The sequence below is a fragment of the Homo sapiens genome, chromosome 8 (genome assembly GCF_000001405.40).
Source record: "Homo sapiens chromosome 8, GRCh38.p14 Primary Assembly".
Taxonomy (NCBI): domain Eukaryota; kingdom Metazoa; phylum Chordata; class Mammalia; order Primates; family Hominidae; genus Homo; species Homo sapiens.
Window position 1 is genome coordinate 71,949,541 of NC_000008.11, and position 25,454 is coordinate 71,974,994.

General features: G+C 39.5%; 1 long non-coding RNA gene across 2 annotated transcripts in view; it reads left to right on the forward strand.

Moving 5' to 3' along the window:
- MSC-AS1 (MSC antisense RNA 1) overlaps positions 1-25,454 on the forward strand; it is a 213,190-nt gene that overhangs the window by 106,418 nt on the left and 81,318 nt on the right. Inside the window, exons 3-4 of one of the 2 annotated variants that reach the window (NR_033652.1) lie at positions 13,383-13,508; positions 15,869-15,994. This is a non-coding gene — a long non-coding RNA (MSC antisense RNA 1). The remainder of the gene's footprint in view (positions 1-13,382; positions 13,509-15,868; positions 15,995-25,454) is intronic. The other variant, NR_033651.1, reaches the window with a different exon arrangement.

Consider the following 25,454-nt stretch of genomic DNA (forward strand, 5'->3'; position numbering starts at 1 on the left):
GGAATCTGTTTGGGGTTAGCTTTGGGATTTGTGGCACATTTTTGTAAGTCTTAGATCATGTAAAAAGCTTATCAATAGTAATGAAGATCTCTGTAATGAGATTTCTTAATTTCCTATGTGATTTCCTTCTGGTTGCGAGGATTGTTTAGAAATACATGACTTGGCTTCTATTTTTTATTTTAAAAACTATCATTTTATTACTAACTCATAGTTTTATTTTATCATAAGAGGGAAACTAAATTCTGTATGTTATCTATCATTTAAGATTTATTTAGTCCTAAGTTTTGAGTTCCTTATGTGGCTAATGTGTGGTTTGCTCTTGTAAATATTCCTTGACTATTTTCTGTTTGATATAGAGTATTATACATGTCTAAAAGCTTGAGCCTATTAAGTATATTGGCATTTCCTTGATATCTCTACTTAGTTTATGTCTACTTGATTGAATTAGTTTATGAGACGAATGTGCTAAAATCTTTAGCTATAATAATTGATTTTTCCATCTGAAATTCTATCAGATTTTCTTTTTGCTATTTTGAGGCTGTCCATGTAGGTTTATAATATCTTCTTTTTTTCTTTGTTCCTTTAGCCATTATTTAACATTTCCCTTTATGTCATTATATTGTGTTGTGTAGTACAATTGCTACCTTAGGAATCTTTTGATATACATTTTTCTGGTCTATCTTTTTTCTTTTATTTTCAACCTCTCTGTGTCTTCTGTTTTAAGTGTGTCCCTTCTGGACAATATATTAATTGGTTTGATTTTTTGTATCCAATATGAGAACTTCTGTCTCTTAATTAGTAAATTTGACTCATATACGTTTATTGAAATTACTTCATGTTAGAATTTATTTCTTAAATTTCATTTTATATCTTTCCTTTCCTTTTTTCATTTTGAGGTGGCTTTCCATTGGATAGTTCAAGTTCTCGTCTATAATTCTAAAAGTTAAACCTTATAATTTTGTCTCTACTGTGGTTACTTGCCTCAAACTCATATTCAGTTTTATTCACTTTTCTTGAATTCTTAAACATATTAAATTTTAAAAAATAAGAACCTGGAACATTGTCTCCTTCAGCACCACATTATATTGATACTGTAAAAGTTTATTTACAGGTTGTTGATAGATATACTTCCTTTTGTTACTTTGAGCCTTACTCGTCTCATTGTTTTGCTTTATCACTTCAAGGAATGATAAACTTCAAAGTCATTGATTTCTTTTACAATTAATAACTTATGAACTAGCTCCTAAATTTTTCTCTTCACATTATTTGAATACTTTCTCTAAGAGTGTTTTCAAGGTAGATCTTTGCGTAGAAAATCTGAGGCCTGATGTGTCACTGAGTATTTGTATTACACATTCATATTTTAATAACATTTTAGCTTGTTATCAAATTCTGGAATAAAGTTATTTTTCTTTAATACGTACAAATATTAGTGTATTGTGTATCTAGCATTGCTGTTGGTAAGTCTGATCGCAACTTTATTTTTATTCTTTTGTAGATGATCTGTTATTTCCTTCTGCATGCTTTTAGAATCTCTCTTGGTATTTGATATTCTTAAGCCTCACTTCGTTTGATATTTTTAAGTCTCTATTGTTAAATCCCCCCACTTCTTATCTGTACTGTTTAACACATTCAAATAGAAGTCTTTATCTTTTATTAATTTTAAAAAAATTATGTTTTTTCAAAGATTTTTTCTTCTCTTCATATGCTTTCTTTCTGGTACTCTTATCACGCATATGTTGGCACTTCTACATCTGTCCTTTATATCTATTACTTCTCTTTGTCTATATTTTCTCTTTTTACATATTTAAAATTTTCTTCTTGGAGAATTACTGAATCAGGCTTTCTATCTCTTTAAAATTCTTCAACTGCACCCAACCTATTGTTCGTCCCATCTACCATGCTCTTTATGTCAGTGTTTGTATTTTATTTATCTAATATTTCCACTTTTTGATTATTTCTGGTTCTTGATTTATGTTACAAATATTCCCTATGATCTCTCCTTTAAATATTCTTATCAGGATATTGGAAATTCTTGATTTTCACAACTCTGCTTCAGTGGCATATGTTTAGCTTTTTGTCTTCTGAATTAATTGGGCTTCTGATGGTCCCTAGAGGTATCAGCTACTCAGTCAGAAAACATACATGGGGAAGAAACTGAAGTTCATGCCACAAACTGTAGCAGCTTTGGAACAGAAGGGACCAGACAACCTCAAGGAGAATGGGCCCAAATACCAAAAATTTACTCTTGGTGACCCTTGTTGCTTCTACTGTACCAGGCAACTCTCTTGGGCAGGATTTTACTTTTGCACACTTAGAAAGATCCTGCACCAGGGAAAATCGGTCTCCTGGGGAGGTATTCCAGCAACCATGCAAGTCTGGAGGCGAAGGGGTTGGAGAACCAAATGCCCAAGGGCAGCTACTTAGCCAGCACCCACTACCTGCCTTCATTAATTGTTCTCACGGGCAGGCCTTTTGAACCACCCTGGTACAGAACACCAACCCTGGTGCTTTAGGCTGTCTGTGCCATTTCTAGGCAATGAACGAGTAGTTACTGTACCAACTCAAAAAAAAAAAAAAAAACGGGATGAAGGACAGAGAATTAAACAATTCCATCCAGCTTATCCTTTCACTGCCACTTGGGTAACACACAGCCCCCAGCTGCAGTTGCTCAGCTCCTAGGCACATCAGCTCAATGTGGTCTGTAGTGTCAGCAGGGGAAGTTGTTTCTATTGTTTCCTGCAATCCAGGCTTCTCTTTGGCTGCTATGGTTTCTCCAGGTTTATTTTTAGGGAGGAAGCTAGCAGTGTATGTACCATCTTGACAGTAACCAGAAGCCATGAAAGGAGTTCTAACTTGTGCCTCTGAGGAAAGTCTCTTTTTATATGCTGCTCAATGTCATTTACTCATCGAAAAGGTATTTATACAGTAAATTGCTAGGGGAAAATGCCTCAACTTTCTTACTGAACTTTCAGAATTCAGTGGTCAGATAATAATTGTTGATTTCCTAACCTTTAAAAATGTTAGAAAAACTTTTCATGTGATGTAATGTGACATTTGGTTATGTTACAAATGGCATGTGGTTAAAACTGCTGAACATTATTATAATTTTATTAGTTTCCTATGTTGAATTGTTATCACATATTTTGTCCTACCCAATTATCCAAATCCTTAGTGACTATTAATTACTGAAGAAAAGCAAGCATGGCCAAGTCAATGATATATGCAGGCACTCCTTGCTCTAGACAGGATCATAAAAATGACTGTATGAGCTGAAACCATACATAGTAGTAGTCTTAATAATCAATGGGGAAAAATTATGATTGTTCTGTGACCTTTAAAATTTCCTGTCAAAACACTGAAATCTCTTTTACTGTTGTTTATAAATGTATAAGGAAATTAAAAAACATGGTAAAAGTTTTTTTTAGTATGCTGTAATTTAAAGCATTAGAAATGGGACTTAAAGTGTTTAATACTTTTGTAAAAGAACTTATGAAGAATAGTTTGAGCAATGTTTGTCTTCTCATGTATAACTTATAGTACTAAGTGAGCATTTTTTTCTAGGCTTTGGTGAATCTTGACAGCCCATTCTAAGTTTGGATCAGCTTCCAACATTTTATCCTTTGCACTTTCAACCTTGTGAAGTATCTCTGAGTATCCATTTAGGGTAAAGATTTTTAATGGCATCAGTTTCTCTGGGAGATCTTCATCCTTTTCATCACTACAAGTTTTTGCATTTCTGTTGGTAACTTCACCTTCACCATGTTCTTCTGGCTGCAAATCTAGAGTCTCTCCATCAGTGGCAGTGTCAACATTCCATAATCAGCTATTTCTTCTAGAACTCTATTTACATTCAATACAAATTTCACTTCTAGCATCATCACTTTTTCTATTTGTGTGTGTGTGTGGTGTTTCACTTTCATATTTGTTGGCCAGTTTCCTTTACTGATTATCCATTTGTGTAAATATCACATGGGTTTACCTCTGGGAGACATGGTCCTGATACCAACACACACTTTGCTGTCTATGCATGAACTGAATAACTGAGACGCAGTGACCCATCACCAACAGACTGGAAGAAGTAGCATTAGTGGTCCATTGATTATGATAAGCATCTGCTATTAATGTAATGATCTGTGGGAAAAGAGCTGGCAGCAAAGTCTGTATTTTATGCAATTACTCCCACTTAATATACCGTGAAATTTGTTGGAGGATTGTTGTTATTTAAATCATTGTAACTGAAATTCATACATATAGAAAGTATGCACAGTTAAACTACCCATCTATATTTTATAACAAGGCCAGTCATTTACCAACTGGGTGACTGTGGTGGCTATAAAAGTATGCCCTCACATGTCTGCTAGAGGAGGTGTTTGATGGATGGCTTCAGGTGCTGAGATTTGAGCCTACCACTGTGTTCCTGCCAGGCCCACATTTCCCATAGGCTGCTCCTGGCTAATGCCTAATTTTTGCAATGTCTGACTTGGGCAACTTTTGCTCAAGGATTCCCCACTAGCTGAGCTAAAACTTTTAGAAATGCATTCCAGTCTGTGGCTCTTCCTATGTAACCCTCCTTCCTTCCCTCTCTCCTTTACAGGGGTTACACCTGAATCCCGGTCCGAAGGCTGTCCCACCTCCTCTAACTCTTTCCCTTCTGGATATTTCCTTCAATAAATCTGTTGCACATCTAACCTCATTTTGGCATCTGCTTCTCAAAGGTTTTTTAATACAAATAATTCTGAGAGTGGGCCAAGAAAACAGGAGTAACATGAAGTTTGGAACTGGATCTGTCGCCACCTGGCAGGTGAAGAGAATACCATCATGAGTGCCATGGAAGATACAGGTAGTCCCTGGAGTTTAATTTCTCAGGTGGTGAACTGGAGAAATGTCCAGATGAAGTAGAATGATTACAGATGTGATGATTTGAGCATTTGGAAGAACACATACAAAGTCTGCAGAGCTGGCTAGTTATTGCTAAGTTGTATAAGTGCCCCTCAGAAGGATAACTAGAAAGAGGGTCATTAACAAGCAGTTACAGGGTGACAAAGAGGTCCTTCTCTCTTGTGCTGAAAGAGTAGAGGTAGTTAGGCAGTAGACTGACGATCCAATAGAGTCATGGATGCCAGAGACGTTTGAATGCTCGGTCAAGGCACGTCTGCCAGGTTAAGGTCAGAGCACTGGTTAAGAAAACCTGAGATCCTGAAGTTCAGGTTGGGGACAAGACATCAGTTAATTTATTTTATTTGTTTGTTTATTTATTTAGAGATGGGGTCTTGCTATGTTGCCCAGGCTGAATTTGAACTCCTGGGTTCAAGCAGCCCTCCTGCTTTAGCTTCCTCAGTAGCTAGAACTGTAGGTGCTTGCCATTGTGCCAGGCCCAGGGACAGGAAATCTAAATGGTTGACTCTGAGTATGTTGACTCTGCGCAACCTCCGGAGCCACAGAGCTTATGATGGGGGGGACCACCCTCTTCTAGTACAAGCTAGCACTCCTGGTTCTGGAAGCCACTGCACAAGCTGCTCGGCAGAGGCAACAGGTGCCCCTCAGGGGCTGCCCCACCCACTCTTCTGGCTGCCAGTTGGTAACCAGCCAGTTGTTAATCTCATGGTATTGTCCCTCCAGTAGGAATGATGGAAAATAATGATAACACAAGAAGTTGTGGGAAGACAAAGGAGGATAACTTAATTCAGTCTTGATCAAAGGAGGGATAGAGAGAATAGACTACTCAGCAAAAGTCAGGCATGAATTGGGGGTGTAAACCCTGGTGGAAGAGGAATATTCACATGGAAGAGAAGAGGAGAGGGAGGGGAATTCTACATAAAAGGCATGGCATGTGCAGGGGCAGAGAGGTTTTAGAAAATACAACATTTTCAGAAGCTGAAAACAGTTCAGTATATCAGAAGCACAGGCAATATCAAGGAATACTGAGAGATGAGATACAGGTTGTGCAAGTGTCTTGCATGTTATCATATTTAGCTTTTGTGAAGAACAGTATGAGTAAGCCCAGGATGAATTTAGCTGTAGAGGGAGGGTGAATTACGTGATTACACTCATGTTTATCAACAATTACTTAGTGTCATAAAATTATGTATGCATATATGCACTAATGTAGTTATCCTTCTTTTAATTCAGTTGGTAGCGGAAATGAAGTTGTTAGTTTTCAATAAAAATGTTACAGGAAAGAGGTCCCGATCCAGACCCCCAGGGAGGGTTCTTGGATCTCCTGCAAGAAAGAATTCATGGCAAATCTGTAGAGTAAAGTGAAAGCCACTTTATTAATAAAGTAGAGAAATAAAAGAGTGGCTACTCCATAGACAGAGCAGCACTGAGGGCTGCTGGTTGCCCATTTTTATGATTATTTCTTGATGATATGCTAAACAAGGAGTGGATTATTTATGCCTCCTCTTTCTAGACCATATAGGGTAACTTCCTGTCATTGCCCTGGCATTTGTAAGCTGTTGTGGTGCTGGTGGGAGTGTAGCAGTGAGGATGACCAGAGGTCACCCTTGTGGCCATCTTGGTTTTGGTGGGTTTTAGCTGGCTTCTTTACTGCAACCTGTTTTATCAGCAAGATCTTTATGGCCTGTATCTTGTGCCAACCTCGTCTCTCATCCTGTGACTTAGAATGCCTTAACTGTCTGGGAATGCAGCCCATTTCATCTCAGCCTTATTTTACCCAGCTCCTATTCAAGATGGAGCTCCTCTGTTTCAAATGCTTCTGACAAAAACATTCACGATATAAACTTTATTTTTAAGATTAGATGGAATTAGAGCTATAAATTGACGTGGAACTCGCCCCCTTAAAATGTCTGTGGAGATTGTATAGGTGGTTTAGAAAATCCAGTCAAGTTGAATTCACTAGATTTTCATCTGAATCCTGTTCCTCAGGAGGCCTTTTTTTTTTCAGTAGGAAGACCAATTTTTAGTGTCTGTTTTTCACAGAACTCTTCCAGTCAGTATTTGTTCTAATAGTTGAAAGAGAATGACTTTAGAAAGTTATTTGTGGAGGCTCAGAAGCCACAGGGAAATAAAAAGATTTGAAAATTGTTATAAAAATTAAAGGTTATGGAGGAAGGACAGCTCTGTAATACAGAGCCTTGGATACATACACTTCTTCCTGGAATCTTGACTTCATGAGAACCTGGGCTGACAGAAAATAATGCCTTGGACCTCACCTCTGTGTGATTTCTTTTTTCTACAAATTGGAACCAATATATTTTAGAATACTTGTTTTGTATTTATTTTCTTTCTTTCTTTCTTTCTTTTTTTAAGACAGAGTCTTGTGCTGTTGCCCAGGCTGGAGTGCAGTGGCGTGATCTCGGCTCACTGCAAGCTCCGCCTCCTGGGTTCATGCCATTCTTCTGCCTCAGCCTCCCAAGTAGCTGGGACTACAGGTGCCCGCCGCCACGCCTGGCTAATTTTTTTGTATTTTTAGTAGAGATGGGGTTTCACCATGTTAGCCAGGATGGTCTCGATCTCCTGACCTTGTGATTCGCCTGCCTTGGCCTCCCAAAGTGCTGAGATTACAGGCATGAGCCTGTTTTGTATTTCTTAGTGAGATAGCAAATCGTTGGAAAGTTGGTTCCATTAAGGAGCTGTATAAAAGATTAGGATTTATTTTAAATGTTGTTACAAGGGTTATTTGATGTTTCAGACCTGAAGATCCAAAGCAACACAATAAGAGAAAAATATTTTGTCTGACCAACTTGGATTTTGTTTTGTGTGGGATAGAAGGAGATGCATCAAATTCTTTCCTGGAATTTTCCCTAGGACTCTCTAAGTGTGGGGTTAACTATTATTTTTATATCTATATTTTTGTTTGTTAATGGGATATTAAAAATGGACTTGATGAGAACTGAAAATGTCATTTCCTGATTGGGCAGGATTTGACTGATCAATGGAAAACAGTTTTGTCATGGCTTCAAATGGATTCCCTGTGAATCCTTCCAGTACTTCCAATTCCAGATGCTTCATAAAAGCCATCAGTATAATGAATTAGACAGAAATATGAATCCCTCATATGGTATTTTGACCCCAGCTGGTAATATGACTGTGATCCGAGGCAAGAATTTCCAGAAGTACTAAATGCAATTGGAATAGCAGCAATAGATATTAGTTTCAGCTATCATGGTATCAGATTTTCATTCTCCTCCAGCCTGGTGCTACATGAAGAATACAAGCAGTCCTGTGAGATACTTCCCGAGTCTGAAGCTTTTATGTCCGGATCCCCAGAATCTAAATCCCTACTTGCACAACAAAAAGAGAACCTGGAAAATATGTTGGGAAATGAGAGTGGGGATAACAAACCTAACATTCGTTAGGAATCTGTCCAACATGGCTCACAATGTGGTGCACTGACAGTAAAGTGGCCCAGCCCCCTGGGCCCCAGAGGAAGAGTTAAAAGACACCCAGCAGCTGTTCCCTTTTCTCCGGAGGCCAGAAGAGGAAATGGGTTTATGCTGGAGCAGGAGGGATTTAGCCTGGTATATGAAAGGATTTCTGCCTCAAGGTAATGCTTTCTCACGAACAGCACAATCACATCACCTGCTTCTGTTATTTAAAAACACAGAATCTAGTGTCTTCTGATGGCAGGTTAGAGACCACTGATCCCTGGAGTTCCAGAGGCCCACTGGATGGCTCTTTTTAATATTCCGGAAAGCCTAATCATAGAGATTAAACATTTAAACACTATTATTCTGCTCCTCGAATAGACTACTAAGAATATCTTTCTGAAAACCTTTTAATGGAATGATATTGGCTCAGTATTATCTCATGTTGGTCATATGCTCTTATTTTAATAAATGTTTTCTGTGAATACAAATAGAGAATTCATTGTGACTTAATTTTAATCATTTGTTTGCTGGTCAAAATTCTACAAAAACTCGGGCCCAATGAAAAAGAAATAAAAAATTAAAAAGAAGCTCTTGGTGTTAAAAGGCAGGAATCTGCTTTTCTATCTACTTTTTAAAGAAGGGGACAGCAGAATGTATTACACTAGACTTGGGGTTCAGATACATCTGGGTTAGACGTCTAACACTTTATATACTGTCTACAAGCACTTTTTCTAGCCTCAAAAACCCTTTACTTTGCTCATTTTAAAATAACGATAATACTCAACTTGCAGATAAATTGTGACTATCATATGAGAAAATATCACATGTGATATGTGCACACACAAGACTAGCCTTGAAGGCCTCTTGTTCTGAGGAATATGGGAACACAGAAATAAATTTTCCAGAAAAGAAATCAACAAATACTTGAAGTCATGCAATTACAAAAGGAGAAATGTCAAATGATCTTCAAAATGACGAAGTCATACGACCATTGCCTCAAACCCACATGCTTGTCTGTTAGTTTGTCTTCACTATATAAATGGAAGGGACTGTTGCAAAAACATAAGCAATAAGAATGAAGAGCTTTCATTAGTGACAGCGATTTTATTTATTTATCTTTTTGCTGTCTCTGCCTTCTTGGTTATTGGTCTTTTTACTAACAGAGCTTTAACACAGTTGGTTATGTATTCAGCTCATATATTATTTATAGGTTCTATGTGTTGTGATTTATTCATTGACTTCTCAAGGCTTAACCATTCTTTAATCCATTGAAAAATAAATGTGATGTACTTCTTCGGAGCTGCTGTCCATATTTTTTTTATTTCTTTCGGCATTTTACCAACAGCTCACTCTTACAAAAGAGATAACAGGGAACCTAAGTTCCTGCATTAGACCATATCTTTCTTTGGATTACACCAAATCTTTTTATTGCCTTCGAGTTGGATGGGCTGTCCTGCTTCTCTTATTCATGTGTAGGTGATATTTTGCTTTGTCCATTCTGCAGGTTATCCAGGTGTTTTACAGACAAGGCTGAATGGGAGAAGACGCCCCACCTCCTACAGGAAAGGGCTAATGGCAGCTGCCTGGATATGGCAGCAATTTTGGAGGTGGACAACAATTCAGTGTAGACACGTTTGTGGCTCTTCTATGGAAAATGCCAGCCTGCTTTCCCAGGAGTATCTCACTTGGAGCTTCTCTTTCTGCTTTACTTGTAGCAATTTATTACCGAAGCCATCAGCTGTATATTTAATCTTGTTTTGAGGTTTCCAAATAGGAATAATTCAAAAGTAGACCTGGATGGTTTAGGTTAGACAGACACATGGCTATGATGAATATCAGTCCTTGGCAAGGTTGATTTATGTACTCTTTTCAAGTAATAAGGAAACATCTCTAACTATTTTATGTTACAAGAAAGAAATTTATAATATGAAAGGCTGAATGTTTCTATTTTTTAAAGCAAATCAGAAAATAATTGTGTGGCTGCATATGGTGAAGAGGTAAAATTTGGATAGGATAATCTTTTCAGGCAAAATTATTTCAAAGTTTGAAAGGATTCTTTTAAAAGAAAGAGTGTGTAGAAATATATAAAATACATCATGTTCCTGTATTAGACAAGAATTCCAGAGAGGCTGGAAGTTTCATCCTCAGAAGTTTATACTTAAAAGATAAACTCGAGCTGTGTGTTTCCCCTAGGGGCTGGCTCAGCCATTAGAAGACCAACCATGTCCACAAAGGCCAACACTGTCAGCCTGTCCAAAGTTCATCTTCCTAGTGGAACTTGCCTCAAAATGCAATTAGTAGGACATTTGTAGAAATCTTTTCAGTGTATGGTTACAGAGAGTGTCAGGTTGACTCTGCTTGGAAGAAGAAGGCAAGACCTTCTGCTATTCATCTCTGAAAAGTGCAAAGATCATTCGTTTGGATCGCAATGTATTCAACATTTAAATGCACTTACTCATACAGTCCTAACTGCCCTTCCCATGGCCATTCATGGAGATGCTTCCCAAGATGTTACACAGCCAGTGGCATAAACTCCATCCTGTGTTCCTCACTCATGATTTGGAGAGCCTCTGTCATAGCTTTTTACTTTCTCTTTTTTCTCACTTCAGATGTGGATTAAAGTCTGCACTCACAGCTTTCTCCGATAGTTTAAGGATATTTGATCCTTCAGTATTTATCCATTATTGGCTCTGTTTACCCAAGGGAAAATTAAGTGCAGGGCCTTAGAACAGTAAGCGCTTTAATACGCGGATGCATATGCTGATCTCTGACAGATGTTGGTCTTTGGGAACAACAGAAAGGGGAGGTACGTCATTCACTTGGGAAGCTGCTTGTGCAAATTGACTGATCCTGCAGGTGCCCGGGCAGCGTGGCCATGAGCCACGAGCAATGGTGAGAAAAATGTCTGGTGCAGGGGCAACTACTGAAATATTACGATCTTTCACACACATACCCAGCCAGCTGGCAGGGGATTCCGAGCAGTGCCTCCTAGGAAAAACAGTGGTTCTAAAAGGTTTTCATTTTAATTATATTACTGGGCTTTAAGGTTTAATTTTGTGTTTTCTATGAAAAGAGAAGTTTTATTTGTAGTTGTTACTAGGCAATCTTATTTCTAAGTCTACTGAGTTATGATCATTTTCTCAGGTTAAAATGCATATTAGGCAAGGTGGCTTTTGTGCTTGTCAAGTGTGTCTGTGTGTGTGTGTGTGTGTGTGTGTGTGTGTGTGGTCTCCTATATATTTGAGGTAGAAGAAAGCCCTTCAGGTAGATTTTGGTAAAGATTTTTTGGTTGTTTTTGAGACAGGGTTCTGCTCTGTTGCCCAGGCTGGAGTGCAGTGATGCAATAACAGCTCAGTGCAGCCTCGACCTCCCGGGCTCAAGCAATCCTCCCACCTCAGCCTCCAAAGTAGCTGAGACTACAGGTATGCACCACCATGCAAGACTAATTTTTAATTTTTTTGTAGAGTCAAAGTCTCACTCTGTTGCCCAGGCTGGTCTCAAACTCCTGGGCTTAAGCGATCTTCCCATGCTGGACTCCCAAAGTGTTGGGATTACAGGCATCAGCCACCCCAGCAAAGACTCTTTTGTTTCTGGTTTAACATTTAAAACTAGAAAATTTTGCTCTTTAAGGAGCCCCATAGCAATAAGGTGACATCTTTGTGCAACTGCATATTTTCCATTGCCCTGGTCATTTGTATGAGGGGGGGCAAATGCAGGGCTGCCCCAAGAGTGCCTTGAGGGCAGGGCTGTGTCTTAGTCACCTGGGCATTCCCTGTGCCTCCTGTGGTGCCTGTCACATGATGGGTGGGTGCTTATGTGCTCAGTGAAGTCAAGCTCCTGACAGAGACAGGTGTCCCAAGCTCCCTACGCAATTGCCATTGTGCATGATATTCCTAAAAGGGAAGAAACCCTGCAAGAGCAGTCATGACTCTGAGACTTTCAGAACTTTAGGAAAACTTTATTTTCATTGTGTGTATAAAACTCTTGTTTTTTCAACCACCAGCTGATATTGTGACATCACTGGTCTAAATTACCAACAACATTTTGTCTGATGTAGGTACTCTCTAGTAGGACTCTGGATAGATGCCATTACCCTGAGACCTCAACATTTATGAAGAGTTGCAGACCTGGAAGCCAGTCTGCTGGGGTTCAAATCCAGACTCTGTGGCTTCCTGGGTAATTTTGATGGCTCAGCCTCTGGCTAGATCAGTTGGTGTGAGGATTAAATGAACCAATCCATGTAAGTGCTCAGATCGGAGCTGTGCACACACTACATACCCAATACGCATTACCGTATTTGATTACTGATTTCTCTGATAACCTCTTTTCCAGGGAATGAGGTGAAATCTAGAGGGAATTCTTGAATTTTTCCTTCCCTGCAGTGACTCAGAATGTGGTACTATCGGGGCTTTCTGAGACCTCAGTTCGGCTCCTCCCCTCGCCCTGCAGGCTGGTTCTGACTCTCCACACCAGCTCTGCTCCATGCTGTGGCTGCCTCGCCCCTGTCCCTTGTCTTGGTTCTAGGTCTGGATGGTCCCGGACTCTAACCCACATTCAGCTCAGACTCACCCTGGTGCCAATCGCCCACACTATCCTGTGTGTTGTCACTTTAAGTGACTGAAGGTCTCTTTCTAACATTTTAACTCAAGGGATTTGAATCAAGTTTCCTGTTTCTTAGGGAAGACAGGGATTCACTTTTCAAGAACATGGATCAAGTAGCCACTCAGTGGAAAGCACTGCTCTCAGTGCCTGGGACACAGCGGTGAACAAAACAAAATCTCTGTGTTCATGGAGATCACATGCTAGTGAGGGAGTCAGATAGGAAGCAAATGGATATTTGATTGAATGCCAAGTTTCTGGTGCAGTCAAATTTTCTCAAGGGTTGCAAAGTAGTCATCGCAATTTCCACCTAGGGAATATTTACCCCTATGGGGCAAATCTGTCCATTTCTGCCCATCTGAGCAAGTAAAACACAGGACTGCCACAGTTATTGCGGAGCTCCATGAAGCAAGCAAGAGTCATCACATTGATTTATTCTCTTCCTTCCAGGAAAATATTTGCAATACCTGCCACGTCCAAGGTTCAGCTGAGGCCAATGTAAAGCCAGTATTATAGGACACTTCTCAGACTGAGAGCCCAATGTCGTTGGAAACCACTGGGCCACAGGAAAGGCAGGTAAGAATCATGGTTATAGATTCAGGTTTGGTGTCAGACAACTGCTTTAACTTAGGTTCACCATCACTTGCCAGTAGAATAACCATGAGCAAATTACTTAGCCTCTCTGTCTTAGTCTTCTAGGGTTGCTGTAACAGAATACCACAGACCGGGTGGCTTCAACAACATACATTTATTTCTTTGAAGCCTGGGAAGTCTGAGATCAGGGTGCCGGTATGGCCTGGTTTTGGTGAGGACTATCTTGCTGCTTTGAAGATGGCAGTCTTATGTCCTCACATGGGACAGAAAGTGAGCTCTAGTCTTTCTCTTCTTGTAAGAACACTAATCTCATTATGGTGACTCCACCCCTATGATATCATCTAAGCCTGATTACCTTCCAAAGGCCCCCACCTTCAAATACCATCACATTGGGGTTTAAGGCTTCTACAGATGAATTTGAGGGTGGGCGACACAAAAATACAGCCCATAACACTCTCTAAATCTCAATTTTCTCATCTTTATAATGGGGATATGTAAGTATTTAGGTCATAGAGTTTCATGAAGTTTAAATGAGCTTATGCACCCAAGATTTGACACAGTACAAAATAAACTGTACCTGATGTTTAAAGTCAAGCTCTTTTGGCCCCAGAAAGTCAATAAACCCATTTAGAGCATTCAAGAAGGCAGAGCTACTGTTTATCTTATCTGGGCTGCCACAGGTGTGGTGGGGGTTTCCCAGGAGGCAGCAATATTTTGTTAAATAGAGTAGCCTCTTGGATACCTGGTGAAACCAAATCTCTTAGACATCATCTGTGAACATGATGAGCAAAGCCAGTCCTTAGGGAGATGGCACCCTTAGGAAGCAGGCAGGGGGTTAAGTCGGGCAGTTCAGGGCAAGTCTTCAGTGATGGGGAGGAGCAAGTGTGGAAGGGAAATCAGATTACACAGAAGCTGGGAGACAGGAAAAATGATACTGTAGTTCGTTTTTCTGAACTGGCTGAGCAGACAGATACCTCATAATTCATGGGGGCCCAGGCCTGTGTTAGCAGATGAATCCCGATGCTGAGTGCCTGGCTTGGAATCATTGGCAAGAGGTAGGGGTTTAGGGGAGGTGATTTATTATTTTATTTTTATTTTTATTACTTTTTGAGACAAGATCTTGCTTTGTCACCTGTGCTACAGTGCTGTGGTGCAATTACAACTCATTGCAGCCTCTACCTCCCCAGCTCAAGGGCCCTCACACCTCAGCCCCCAAGTAGCTGGGACTAGAGTTGTGCACCACCACATTTGGCTAATTTCTTTTTTTTTTCTTTTTTTTTTTTTTTTTTGGTAGAGACAGGGTCTTCTTGTATTGCCCAGGCTGGGGAGGGGGCTTAATACAGGTATAACAGGATCATAAATTTATTCACATAATTCAGCTGTGCAATGAAATTCTACATATTTATTTTTTTACATATTTATTTTTCTATAAATTCTACAAATTCTATCTATTTATTTTTCTCAGCTGATCTAATCTTCATGGGCCCCACCTGCTGGATCGTGGGGTGATCAAGGACTTCCAATTAAATTCCAAGCTCACTCTCTTCCACTGTGATAATTTCTTTTGAACTATTCTTTCAAACTCTCAGTTTCTGTCAGATAAATATTTAGCTAAGGGAGCTGTGTTAGTTTGTCTTCTAAATGTGAGAGAGGGCCTGGGTAAAAAAAAAAACTTATATTTCTTCTCACAGACAATACTGAAGGAAAGATTTAATTAGGGTGTCTCTACAAATGCAGATTTTTCATGATTTCCTTGCAAGCTTCCCTTCTGCCTCGCTTTTTCCTCCTCTGGAGCTCACATCCTCCTCCCTTAGCCCAAGGGAATCCAGTGCTTGCACTCTTTGTAAAGGAGCATGGTCTGGTGCCAGAATCCTCTGTACCTAGCAGATACTCCTCCAGGGAAGATGTGCAAAGAGGGCAGCTTAGGCAGGTGCAAATTTTAGGGTAAAACTTTAGACCCCAACGCTCAAAAATGAGGAAGACTTTTTCCCTGCGTACTTCAAGTGTCACTACTGGCTAGTCTCATAGACATAAAATAAGCTTTGGTTATTAAACATGCTTTTTGAAATATATAAATAGACGACACTGTATGTCCTAAAAACTGTTATCCTAGTTGCTTAAAATGCATATTTATATACAGTGATATGGTTTGGATCTGTGTCCGCACCTCAATCTCATGGTCAATTGTAATCCCCAATTGTTGGAGGTAGGGCCTGGTGGGAGGTGATTCGATCATGGGGGGTGTTTCTCGTGGTTTAACACCATCCCCCTTGGTGCTGTCCTCTCGATGGTGAGTTCTCGTGAGATCTGGTTGTTGAAAAGTGTGTGGCACCTCCCCCCAGGCTCTCTCAGTCCTGCTCCTGCCATGGAAGAAGCCTGCTCCCACCATGCCTTCTGCCACGAGTAAAAGTTCCCTGAGGCCTCCCCAGAAGCAGATGCTGTCGTGCTTCCTGTATAGCTGCAGAACTGTGAGCGAACTAAGCCTCTTTTCTTTATAAATTACCCAATCTCAAGTATTTATTTATAGCAATGTGGGAATGAATGAATACATACAGTGACCAAGTTCTGCCTTCCTATATTAAGTTTATTATAGCTGCCCAGTAGCTACATATACTAAGCTAAATGCGGCTTCAAATACTGAGTCCTTCTTAATTTTTAGGTGTAAATAATTTGGCTTCTGTGAAAGTTTTAAAATGCATATATAACAAATATTTCATACCTAACTATGAAGACAATAAAAATATCACCCATTATACAGGGTAAATAGACTGAGATACACAGGTTAAATAGCCTAAGATGTTACATTGTCCAAGTCAAAATTAAACTACTACTTAATTTTTTAAAAAGGACTATTATCCTGAGATAGTTAAACACGGAAGGAAGCTCGCTTATTTAAGCAATATTACCCAAGATTAGTGGCAGAGCACATAGAAAAAGAAGAGATAGGGCCCAGGTTTGAGAAAATTAAGGAAAACTGACGGATTACTTAGCTGAATAGTTTTAAGAAGTGTTTTTAGTTCAGCAGAAGTGGTCTGACCTCAGCGCACTTAGGGCATTGTTTACACGCTTCAGAGGGCTAAGGAGGAGATTTAATCCCGAACGTATTCCGCTGGAGAAACCAGATAAGTCTACCTGAGCCCCAGCAGGGTATATATACTCCGCTACCATCAAGCCTCCACCTGAAAATGTCTCCATTTAACATGGCAGTGCTGTCAATTAAGAGCCAATTTGACTTAACAAATTCAAAGAACCTACTAGTAAGTTTATACTCACAAGTTCCAATGTACTATTTGTAACTCCTCCCTGGTCTGTTCCATGCAAGAAAGCCTCTCAAAGTCCTTCACTTTTCATTCTACTGCTTTGCTTCTACTACTAATACATACAAAGGCCAAAGAAGCTGCCTCTCTAGAATTCCTCTTCCATTATAGAATCTTAGAAGTTGTGACTGTCCATTTGTGCCAGGGATCTATCTGTATCTGTGGCTAATCCAAAAACCTCAGTCCTATACTTTAATACAACATTAGAGCTGAACAATAAGGATGTCAAGTATTATAATCTAATTTCAGAACTATGATGCTACAGAAATAGTTAATTATAGAAATACTTAGAACATACTAGAAATAAATAGGACATTCTTGAAATACACATCAAAAGTCATATTACTCTTTCTTTTAGACTTATAGATGGGGTCACACACCATTCTACAAAGAGGGGAGTCTCTCCGTGAAATGACTTGAACTTATAAAGCGCATTCTGCTATGTGGTTGCCTCACCAACTCCCTTCCTGCCTGGACTATTACAGTAACCTGTGGATTGGTCTCCTTGCCTTGAGACGATGACATTTCTGGCACCTAAACCCATCAGCATCAAGTTGTTCTTTTGAAAACATAAATATGACCATGTTACATGTTTTTAAACCTTTCAATGGAATACTTTCACCTACAGGATAATGTTTAGATTTTTTAACATGGCATGCATGACGCTTCACTCTCTGGCTTCCACACATTCTCCAGAATTACTTCCTGTCACTCTCCTATGTCTATTCTTGTCTCCAACAATTCCCAACCTCTTGTGCTGTGGTCCATGGCTCTCCATGCCTCATGCCTGTGCTGTCCTGGAGCACTTCCTTCAACTGATACACAAAAAAAGTCTTGCTTATTCTTCCCTGATCTACCTGGGTTTCACCTTCACCTGTATGCAGAGTTAATGCCTTCCCGCTGTCTGTTCCCATATCAGGCTGTGTACTATTGAAATATTCATCACTCCCTTCAGGCTGTGGCTTAATGTGCCCATCTCCTTATCAGCCTTGGCAATTTAAGGACAGAGGTTTTGTTTTGTTTTTTGTTTTTTAATCTCTCTCATTTTTGTGTGTTCTCAGGAGCAGGAGAGAAGGGATGTTAATATGTTGAATTAATGTTAATCATTAAAACCATCACAACCCCAAATTTCTTTAATCCCTACTTAATCCAAATTGATTGAATTTGTACAATTTTCATGAATGTTGAATAATCTTGAGGTGAAATAATCTTATTTCACAAAATAAAAATTTGTTGAAATATCATTCAACAAAGATATTATTCTAAATATTCAAAACCGAAAGAAAGCATAGGTCATAGAGCTATTTGGTGGTCAGTTCAGAGGAAACTTTGACAGGATGATGCCAACAATGGGAAAAAAAAAGCCCCAATAACCATCCTGTCTTATAACCTACAAATAATGTTACATACAATTTTAAATTCAAATATATTTGTTAGCATGTTTGAAATCTATTTTTGTTTGTTTGTTTTCCTGGGCTCCTCAGATAGTGAATTGGACTTAGGAACAGATTTTGAAGAATAAACTAGAATCAGTCAAGTGGATGGAGGGTAAATGTCCTCTAGGGGGATAACTCACCAGAAAAAGAGGCTGAAGAGTAGGCAGCAAGGGAAGAGCTGGTGGCTCCTCATCTGTAGCACAGGGTGTTGTGAAAGTAGGAGAGAGAAGGCTGGCACGGGGTGGGGGCGGGTGCAGAGCAGGTCATGTAGGGTCATACAAACCTCACTAAATTCCAAAGACCACAGGAAGTCTCAGAAGCATTTTTCCAGGGGAGGGATGCTATCAGATTTGCAAAAAAGTAGACTTGAAAATCATTCTCAAGGTAGCACAGGTGCTGGAAGAATAATGAAAATTACTGACCTTCAAAAAGTCCTTATTCTGTGCCTGGTATTATTCCGGGCATATTACATATGTTACTGCTTTTCATTTTCACAGCAAACTAAGAGGTGAATACTAGCATGTCTTCTTTTACTAAGCTACATGCACACTAAGTAGCAACACTGAGATCCAAATCAAGGTAATCAGGCAGGAGAGTCCGTGCAATTACCCTTGCTATAGTGCCTCCCCAAAGGCAGGAGGAATTGGAGTCCGGAGGTGGATAGCTTAGTTAAAAAACAAAAGCAACAGTAGAAGGAAGAAATAATAACCTAGGGTAGTGATGAAGCAAAAAGAGAGATACAAATGTAAGAGATATTTAGAAAGTAAAATTAATTAGGTTTGATAACCCCTTAAAAATCAGGTAGAGGGTGATGTTCAATGTCTGCCTCAGACAGGTGGAGGTGCTATTTGCAAGAATAAAGAACAGAAGCAGCATCAGGTGGAGAGGGAGCTTTTGGCAATGTTTGGGATTCAATATGTGAAGCTAGTATTATAAAACAGTGTAGCAAAGTGATATATTAGGAGTTATAAATGCACAGAGGAGGAAGTGACTCATTCTGATTAAAGAAGACTCAGATAAGTTATCTGAACTTTGAAAGATGTGTAGATTTTCCCCAGTTGCAAAATGAAAGAAAGGGTATTACAGGCATATGGAATAAAATGTGCAAGTTAAGGCATCGTAGGAAAGCAGGGTAAATCCCAAGGTACCGTGAGAATCCGGGCCGGCTGCAGAGTGCATGGCAGAGAATGGGAGCTGATGCTGAAGGAAAGCAGGAGTGAAACTGGGGAAAGTTTCCACATGCTTAGGAGCTGTTCCTCTCTGCCCAGGAGCAAAATATACTCTCACAAGTCCCAGGGTCGGTCAGTGCTTGTGTGTAGTTGTACCTTTGGAAGGTTATGCCCAAGGTGACATGTGAAAGCTGCTGGCCAGGTTTAGGGAATCACAAAGAAATTGAAGGCTGAAGTTCACAGGCTGGCCAGCCCCAGAGGAAATTCTATTTTCACATGAGGATTCTGCTTTGCTCTCTAGCCTCAGAATGTGGCATGGTGGCAGCTGTCATAGTATAGCATCTTGCATAGTGTTGTGCTCCTTGACTAGGAAGATATACCCCTTGAGAGACTGGTGGACAGTGGTGGGCATTATTTCCAATCCCCTCTCCAGGTCCCTATGTCTCTCATATAGAAGTCTGCTACTGATGACAAATCTGGTTTATTGAGCAACTTATTATGCCTTACAAGCCACCTTGTATATTAAGTGCCCTGCTTTCCTCCCTTTCCTGGCTTGTTCTCCAGTCACTCAAGTCTCAGGAATGTTTTCTTTTCATTTCTTTTATTTTTTAACTTCATCTCAATTTTGGGTTTTTTTTCAACTTTTATTATAGCTTCAGGGGGTACATGTGCATGTTTAAAGGAATATTGTGTGATGCTGAGGTTTGGAGTACAAATGAATCCATCTCCCAGGTAGTGAGCATAGTACCCAGTAGGTAGTTTTTCAGCCCTTGCCCACTTCTTCCCTCCCTACTCTTGTATTCCCCAGCATCTATTCTCATCCTTATGTCCACGTGTACTTTATGCTTAGTTCCTAATCATAACTGAGGACACGTGGTATTTGGTTTTCTATTCTTGTATCGGTTCACTTAGGATCATGGCCTCTATCTGGAACCATTTTGCTACAAAGGATATGATTTTGTTGTTTTTCGTGGCTGCAGAGTATTCCATGCTGGATACGTATCACATCTTTATCCAATCCAGAGTTGATGGGCTCCTGCATTGATTCCTTGCCTTTGCTAATGTGAATGCTGCTGCAATGAACATAGGGGCGCATGTGCGTTTTTGGTAGGACAACTTATTTTCCTTTGCATTTATGTCCAGTAATGGAAACTTTTCTTTATGCTTTCAAATTTTATGCCCTGCCATCATTCCAGCATCTATCACACTTGGTTTAATTATTTGTTTAAGTCTATGTATCCTCCCCCGGACTGTGATTTTCTTGCCTCCACCCCACCCTCACTCCCTTATTTCTGTAATAGTTGTGCCTAGAACAGTGCCAGGCACATAGTCACTCATTACAGTTTCTTGTTGAAAGTAATTGAATAGTATGGAAGAAAAAGGGAAGCTTTTTACTTATTTACCATGGAAACTGCTCTCAATGTGATTAGTAAGCAAACTTTTCTTCTTCCTTCGTTTTCCCCCATAGTCAGAAACTCTCACTGCAGGCTTCGGAAATGCAATCCTTATGGAGCTTGATGCTTGGCTATCCTCACAGTAGATCAAGACTGCACTCCTATTCCCATATTTCAAGAGATAATTTTTCTTGATTATGCATGAAATGCACTTATCTGTGGAGGAATCGATCAGTTCTGACTATTTACACAGTTCACATCTGCAGGAGGAAACTCTTTCATAAATAAGATGCAGCGAAGTCCAGAATCTGTGAAATCATTTTGGCCCAAATGAGTCTTTTGTGTCCTTTGTTCATGGAGATTGGGTGAAGCAAGGTGCACCTGTTTCAATAGTAAAGCAGCCCCACTGAGGAAAGGACTTTTTGAGTTGTGTCATTAGAAGTCATCATTGCATATGTGAGAGAAGAGAGGAAGGAAAGGGCAGGATGCAGTCACATAACAGGTAAGAAGGTAAAACAATGTTCTCTTAAAATAGTGGAGTGCATCTATCCCACTTTAATTTGGCCTCAAATAGCAGTTGTATGCATTTTGCTTCTAATTCCAGTGTTCTCAGTGAAAAAAAGGAAACTGACCATGGATTTATTCCAGGGCATTTATGCCTGACCTGCTACCTGTTATGGACAGAACATCTTGTAGGTTCTTTATCCTCCTGTATGGACATAGGGGAAGACAATATTGACTAGTTAATCTTGGCAGGTAATTATTAGAAGATGCCTGTTTTGTTTGTTTTGAATATCTAAATTATCCTAGAAGGAGAAAAAGTAGGATCCCCAAAGGGGTTGGCATCTGAGTTGAATTTTGAAGCATGAGAAGAAGCTAGCAGGCAAAGATTGTGGGGGATGAGTATTCAAAACCTAGGGCACCCACGTGCACACGCAGGGAAAAAGAAACCAAGGTGTTGTACTCAGAAAATGCAGAAATACTGAGAGTAGCTCAATCAGACTAGAGTGTAGGTTAAGGGAGTGAGAAAGTAACCTAGGCAGGTATGCAGAAGCCCGATGAAAAAAAGACCTTATAAAACACCCCAAGGACTGTGCCAATTATTTAGAAGTGAATGAGGAGTCAGTTGAAGATTTTAAGAAGGAAAGTCACATGGTTAGGGTTTTATGATAGAAACACAACTTTGGCAATGGAACCCAAAACACCTAATTGAGGCAAATCTGTAGGTGGGGGAGAAGGCCAGCAATGTCAGGCCCAGTCCAGTATGTACACCTGAGAAAAACTTCCACATGTGCATGTAAGACACAAAGATTTGTTTCAGCCTTTTTTGCTATAGAAGTACTAGAAACAGTCTAAACAGTCACTATTAAAGGATTGCATATATAAAATGCAGCAGTGCCACAGAATGAATGTATTACCACAATTAAATGGCATGAATTTGATCTTTATATATATCAATGTAGATTGACTTAAAATAAAAATGTTAAATGAAAAAAGCAAGAAACGTGAAGTTTCAATTATGGAATTATTTAAATTATCTAAATTTATATAGATTTAGAAAATGCACACAGACCTAAATAACGTGTGACTACCTGTGTGTGTAAGTAAAAATTTAAAGTGAAGTGGAAGGTTATGCACCAGTCTCACATAATGTTTGTGTGAGGAGAGGGGGCAGAGAGGGAAATAGAACTGAATAAAGTGGTGAATAAAAGTGGCTTCAGCTTTTTCTGAAATGTAATATTTTTGTAGGTCTTTAAGGGAAATATAGGATTATATTGCTTATGTAATTTTTCTAAATATATACTTAGGGCAAAGAGATTAATAGCAAATATGATACAATAGTAACAGCTATTCTGAGTTTTGCGTGTGTTTGTTCGATTATACTTTGTATTATTTTATACTCGAAAAATAATTTATCTTCTTATAAGTAAAATTGTGTGTATGTGTGGTGTGCATGCATGTGTGTACAGTGGCCAGATTCATGTATTAGCTGAGACTGCTAACTGTGAAACCAGGCGATAAGAGAGTTTCGGATGCATTGTCAACCAGGTTAAGATAAGAACAAAAAAGAGTTGAATCAGTTCGTGACTTAGCAGGTCACCACTGACCTTGACGGGGATGATTTCAGGAGAGTAGTATAGGTGGACATCAGGTTGCAGTGGATTCAGAGAATGAATGAAATATGAAGAAGAGGTGACAAGTGTCATCTATGTCCAGAAGATTGGCTGTAAAGTGGAAGAAATAGATGGACTAGTACGTAGAGGAGGATATAGGTTTAACGAAGGTGATTGTTATTTTTAAGAGTAGGGAAACCTGATATTGCTTATCTGAAACAGGAAAAATAAAGAGGAGAGGTCAAAGATACAGCTGAGAGAGGGAATAACTGATAAGGTTAGGGCAGAAGAAAACAGGAAGGAAGAGAGTCTACTATGGGAAGGTGGAGCCTCTCTGAGCAGTGAAAGTCAAGAGAGGCAAGGAGAAACTCAGAAGTGCAGAAAGGAAGGCATGATATGAGTTTGAGGAATTTCAAATGAACAGCTTCAATTTTTTAAAAATGCAAATTGTATAATTCTGCCTTGACTGAATATTCTTACTTACATGGAAGAAATATAAGAATGTGTACTTTCTTGTACATAAATAACTACAGCTATTTAACTTCTTGTTATTATATGAAATTATCAAAAGCAGTAGTAATATTATTCTTCTTGCAATTATGGCAATTTTGGTTTTGGCAAGTATAATGAATATCAGAAAGAAAAGCAAATTACCAAGTAATGTAGACAGGGATATGCTTTTAAATAATAGAATCTGCGCTTAGACCATGAAAGTTGTTAGGTCTATACTACACCAATATATCATGTTGGAAATTAAACATATTATATTCTACCATGTGCTAATTACATTAAATACTCCATAGAACTACACTGATGTAAAATTCTTAACTGATTTCTCTTTCCTCCTTTTCCATTTGTATCCTACTGAATTTATTCTTTATTTGACCTAATTGATTGGATTAACGGATATTTTTGGCACTGTTCAGTGACACCTTCATATATAATGCAAAATACTTGGAAATACTATCAATTGACTTCATTCATTCAAGAATACCAATGGAGCTCCCAACATCATAATTTCTTAAAACTTGATTTTCATAGGATCATGGAATTCTAAAATTGGAAGAAATATGTTTCTAGTCATCTAGTATAGCTTCCAATCCATAGGATGAATCCTCATGGCTAATGAAAGCCTGGAAGAACATTAGAACCACCATGAGGAGGTAAGGAATGAGCAACATTTTCTTCTTTTTCTGGGTGAGGCAATTATATATGACATACTGTCTATTGATGAATATGCTAAGAGCAGCAGTAAGCATTTATTTCTATTCATTTGGCCAATAGTGGCCAGGCATATATTTATTGAATCAACATATAGTTACATAGGAAATGACACACTCTGCCAACTAGGAGTTTCCAGTCACATACAGGAGACAAGACATCAGATAGCTAATAAGACACACAAATCCTCAGTACTCAAAGGATAGCACAACTTGCTTTGTAGTCATACAGAAACAATTATTTGTTTGTGGACATACAGCATCCTTGGAAAGCTATTAGCTTCCATGTGAGGAAAGCTACATGAATGCTGATTACAACATGTTACAGTTGAATATCAGCACTGCAAAGAAATGACTGTGCTTTCATTGTTGGACTGCCTAACAGTTTCAAAGAGTTCCCAATCAAAACTTTGTCTGTTGGTATTCTTGAAAAGGGGGAGAGTCAGTCGTGAAGCATTCCATATTAAAAAAAAAAAAAAAGTAAAGAAAAGGGGGAGGGTGGGTAGAACTTATGAGAGGAGCAAAATGCTCAGTTAGAGATGTTGGCTGGGCATGGTGGCTCACTCCTATAATCGCAGCACTTTGGAAGGCCGAGGTGGCTGGATCACTTGAGGTCGGGAGTTCGAGACCAGCCTGGCCAATATGGTGAAACCCCGTCTCTACTAAAAATAGAAAAATTAGCCAGCATGGTGGTGCAAGCCTGTAATCCCAGCTACTCAGGAGGCTGAGAAGGGAGAATGGGTTGAATCCAGGAGGCAAAGGTTGCAGTGAGTCAAGATCACACCACTGCACTCCAGCCTGGGTGACAGAGCAAGATTCCATCTCAAAAAAAAAAAAAAAAAAAAATGTTTACCATGAGCCCAACATTTTTTAAAATAATTGTACCCCAAAACTGGGATGCAAAAAGGAAGAATAAATTAGTCATATCTTCAGTAAAGAAATTGCATTGTGAGGCCGGGTGCAGTGGCTCACGCCTGTAATCCCAGCACTTTAGGAGGCCGAGGCAGGCGGATCACCAGAGGTCGGGAGTTCGAGAACAGCCTGACCCACATGGAGAAACCCTTTCTCTACTAAAAATGCAAAATTAGCCGGCGTGGTGGTGCATGCCTGTAATCCCAGTTACTCTGGAGCCTGAGGCAGGAGAATCACTTGAACCTGGGAGGCGGAGGTTGCGGTGAGCCAAGATCGCGCCATTGCACTCCAGCCTGGGCAACAAAAGTAAGACTCCATTTCAAAAAAAAAAAAAAAGAAGTTTCACTGTGACATTGGAACCCACGA